Below are 5,297 nucleotides of genomic sequence, written 5' to 3' on the forward strand. Positions count from 1 at the left end.
TGAATCATTGAAAACTACTAAATATATGAATCAATAATTTTTTAAAATTTTTCTCATAGTGTATGAAGCTTTGAATTTTGCTTAATATGAGAAAATAATTTGTAAACTTTACTAGCTGCAGTATTCATCCAGATATTGCCAACACTTTTTTCTTTTCAGCACTTGACATAAATATTGATGTGTTGAATAACTGTACTAGAAATAAATCATATGATACAAGCTATTTGCATTGAATTCTCAAAGTCTACAAAACATCCTGAAGAACTGAGGATCAAACATAAGCAATAACCATAAGATAGTCAATGGCAGCCCAAAGGTGTGCAGGTTAAAGCCACATATTATGATAAGATTTTAAGATCAAGCAAAAATGGACAGAATGTCCTCCTATCACAGTCTTCTATTTGCCATAGGTTTGTAACACTGATCTTGCAAATATTTTGTGTATCTTCAGGAACTCAATATCAGTGCTTCTCATGTGATACAGCAGAAAATCCAATGAGAGAGATGTATATTAAGCAATGAAATTTTGTTGGACAGAGTTGTTAGAGAATCACCAACTATTGTAATGTGTTAGGTTAGTTTATACTTCGAGAACCCTTAGGAGAAGTATCACATAGACATATGTGACTTAGAATATATTATCATGTAAAGAATTAATTTTCAGAGTGGTCCTGAACTCTGACTCTACCTTTTCTTTTGCCTAAGAAGTTAGTTTGCCTTGGCCCTATAGATACTGAGTCTTTAAATGGAATGAGGTCTGCTTTAGCAAATCAGCTATTTAGTAAGTGGAGTTTTTACTAGTTTCTCATTTTTTCTTCTACTGGAAAGTGTTCAAGAATGAAGCTATTTTGCTTCCTCATGGCCATATTTGCTGGGATTGTAATAGACAATGACAAAAGTTTCCATTCAGCTTTTACTGAGAGTCAATAATGCCCATTTAGTTTACTGCTTAAACCACTGGGATTCTAGTTTTTTTAAGGTTCATGTAGATCTGGGGATACAAGTTGCAAGAGCAGCATAATATCATCCTTTGCTAGCACTATGTTAACTATTTATGGCTTCATCTCTAATCTGTCCTCTATTTTGTGATAATAGAAAATAAGTAGCCTGGTGTCAAATACAGAGTCACATATCTAATTTCAAACTCTCCAATTCACACAGTTTATAGGAATCAGACAATTTACTATTCCCAAAAGTAGGGAATAATAGCCTCTATCCCCCAAATAATCCTACAGCTTTCCTTCCCTGGATCAAATCCCCAGAATGTGTATGTGAACGGTAGATACTTGTGACATCATTTTTCCATCATTTATAAATTTCAGTTTCAAATCACGTGATAATCTTTAGATGACACTAGTAGAAAATTAGCCTGTTTATATAAAGGTAGAGATTATGAAATGGACCAATTTTAGAAAATAACCAAACACATTTTATTATTCATTATTTTAAATGATTCACTTAAATTCTTTATATCATTGAACAATTAAAATATTCTACATTTTGAAATGTGCACAGGGGTTTCCATAATAGAGGAGGTTTCATTTCAGAAATGTATATTTTGTACATTAATTTAGTAGTTGATCCAGTCAACACATTTTTATTGAATTTTGGGCTAATCCTTTGTATCAGACCCGGACAATACAGGGCAATTTTGCCCAAGTTATTATGCTTAGTCTTTGAAACACTGGGGGAGAGAGTATTTTTTCTTTGTTCACTTGCGATTGTATGGGGAATTTTTGCGTATTCATTTTTTATGTAGTATTTTACTGTGAAAATTTGTTTTTCTATACTTTGATTTCTTTCATTTTCATATTCAGGTTAGTGTCAATGAAACAATGTACCCAGTAGTCATTCAGGAGCAGGTTGTTCAGTTTCCATGTAGTTGAGCGGTTTTGAGTGAGTTTCTTAATCCTGAGTTCTAGTTTGATTGCACTGTGCTCTGAGAGACAGTTTGTTATAATTTCTGGTCTTTTACATTTACTGAGGAGAGCTTTACTTCCAACTATGTGGTCAATTTTGGAATAGGTGTGGTGTGGTGCTGAAAAAAATGTATATTCTGTTGATTTGGGGAGGAGAGTTCTGTAGATGTCTATTAGGTCGACTTGGTGCAGAGTTGAGTTCAATTCCTGGGTATCCTTGTTGACTTTCTGTCTGGTTGATCTGTCTAATGTTGACAGTGTGGTGTTAAAGTCTCCCATTATTATTGTGTGGGAGTCTAAGTCTCTTTGTAGGTCACTAAGCACTACTCGGTACATAACGAAATGAAGGCAGAAATAAAGATGTTCTTTGAAACCAACGAGAACAAAGACACAACATACCAAAATCTCTGGGACACATTCAAAGCAGTGTGTAGAGGGAAATTTATAGCACTAAATGCCCACAAGAGAAAGCAGGAAAGATCCAAAATTGACATTCTAACATCACAATTAAAAGAACTAGAAAAGCGAGAGCAAACGCATTCAAAAGCTAGCAGAAGGCAAGAAATAACTAAAATCAGAGCAGAACTGAAGGAAATAGAGACCAAAAAAACCCTTCAAAAAATTAACCAATCCAGGAGCTGGTTTTTCGAAAGGATCAACAAAATTGATAGACCGCTAGCAAGACTAATAAAGAGAAAAAGAGAGAAGAATCAAATAGACACAATAAAAAATGATAAAGGGGATATCACCACTGATCCCACAGAAATATAAACTACCATCAGAGAATACTACAAACACCTCTATGCAAATAAACTAGAAAATCTAGAAGAAATGGATAAATTCCTCAACACATACACTCCCAAGACTGAACCAGCAAGAAGTTGAATCTCTGAATAGACCAATAACAGGATCTGAAATTGTGGCAGTAATCAATAGCTTACCAACCAAAAAGAGTCCAGGACCAGATGGATTCACAGCCGAATTCTACCAGAGGTACAAGGAAGAACTGGTACCATTCCTTCTGAAACTATTCCAATCAATAGAAAAAGAAGGAATCCCCCCTAACTCATTTTATGAGACCAGCATCATCCTGATACCAAAGCCTGGCAGAGACACAACCAAAAAAGACAATTTTAGACCAATATCCTTAATGAACATTGATGCAAAAATCCTCAATAAAATACTGGCAAACTGAATCCAGCAGCACATATAGAAGCTTATCCACCATGATCAAGTGGGCTTCATACCTGGGATGCAAGGCTGGTTCAATATACGCAAATCAATAAATGTAATCCAGCATATAAACAGAACCAAAGACAAAAACCACATGATTATCTCAATAATTGCAGAAAAGGCCTTTGACAAAATTCAACAACCCTTCATGCTAAAAACTCTCAATAAATTAGGTATTGATGGGACGTATCTCAAAATAATAAGAGCTATCTATGACAAACCCACAGCCAATGTCATACTGAATGGGCAAAAACTGGAAGCATTCTCTTTGAAAACTGGCACAAGACAGGGATACCCTCTCTCACCACTCCTATTCAACATAGTGTTGGAAGATCTGGCCAGTGCAATTAGGCAGAAGGAAATAAAGTGTATTCAACTAGAAAAAGAGGAAATCAAATTGTCCCTGTTTGCAGATGACATGATTGTATATCTAGAAAACTCCATTTTCTCAGCCCCAAATCTCCTTAAGCTGATAAGCAACTTCAGCAAAGTCTCAGGATACAAAATCAATGTACAAAAATCACAAGCACTCTTATACACCAATAACAGACAAACAGAGAGCCAAATCATGAGTGAACTGCCATTCACAATTGCTTCAAAGAGAATAAAATACTTAGGAATCCAACTGACAAGGGATATGAAGGAACTCTTCAAGGAGAACTACAAACCACTGCTCAATGAAATAAAAGAGGATACAAACAAATGGAAGAACATTCCATGCTCATGGGTAGGAAGAATCAATACTGTGAAAATGGCCATACGGCCCAAGGTAATTTATAGATTCAGTGCCATCCCCATCAAGCTACCAATGACTTTCTTCACAGAATTGGAAAAAACTAGTTTAAAGTTCATATGGAACCAAAAAAGAGCCCGCACCACCAAGTCAATCCTAAGCCAAAAGAACAAAGCTGGAGGCATCACGCTACCTGACTTCAAACTATACTACAAGCCTACAGTAACCAAAACAGCATGGTACTGGTACCAAAACAGAGATATAGATCAATGGAACAGAACAGAGCCCTCAGAAATAACGCTGCATATCTACATGTATCTGATCTTTGACAAACCTGAGAAAAACAAGCAATGGGGAAAGGATTCCCTATTTCATAAATGGTGCTGGGAAAACTGGCTAGCCATATGTAGAAAGCTGAAACTGGATCCCTTCCTTACACCTTATACAAAAATTAATTCAAGATGGATTAAAGACTTAAACGTTAGACCTAAAACCATAAGAACCCTAGAAGAAAACCTAGGCATTACCATTCAGGACATAGGCATGGGCAAGGACTTCATGTCTAAAACACCAAAAGCAATGGCAACAAAAGCCAAAATTGACAAATGGGATCTAATTAAACTAAAGAGCTTCTGCACAGCAAAAGAAACTACCATCAGAGTGAACAGGCAACCTACAAAATGGGAGAAAATTTTCACAACCTACTTATCTGACAAAGGGCTAATATCCAGAATCTACAATGAACTCAAACAAATTTACAAGAAAAAAACCAACAACCCCATCAAAAAGTGGGCAAAGGATATGAACAGACACTTCTCAAAAGAAGACATTTATGCAGCCAAAAGACACATGAAAAAATGCTCATCATCACTGGCCATCAGAGAAATGCAAATCAAAACCACCATGAGATACCATCTCACACCAGTTAGAATAGCAATCATTAAAAAGTCAGGAAACAACAGGTGCTGGAGAGGATGTGGAGAAATAGGAACACTTTTACACTGTTGGTGGGAGTGTAAACTAGTTCAACCATTGTGGAAGTCAGTGTGGCGATTCCTTAGGGATCTAGAACTAGAAATACCATTTGACCCAGCCATCCCATTACAGGGTATATACCCAAAGGACTATAAATCCTGCTGCTATAAAGACACATGCACACGTATGTTTATTGAGGCACTATTCATAATAGCAAAGGCTTGGAACCAACACAAATGTCCAACAATGATAGACTGGATTAAGAAGATGTGGCACATATACACCATGGAATACTATGCAGCCATAAAAAAGGATGAGTTCATGTCCTTTGTAGGGACATGGATGAAATTGGAAATCATCATTCTCAGTAAACTATGGCAGGGACAAAAAACCAAACACCGCATGTTCTCACTCATAGATGGGAATTGAACAATGAG

Source organism: Homo sapiens, chromosome 9 (assembly GCF_000001405.40).
Source record: "Homo sapiens chromosome 9, GRCh38.p14 Primary Assembly".
In the NCBI taxonomy this organism is placed as follows: domain Eukaryota; kingdom Metazoa; phylum Chordata; class Mammalia; order Primates; family Hominidae; genus Homo; species Homo sapiens.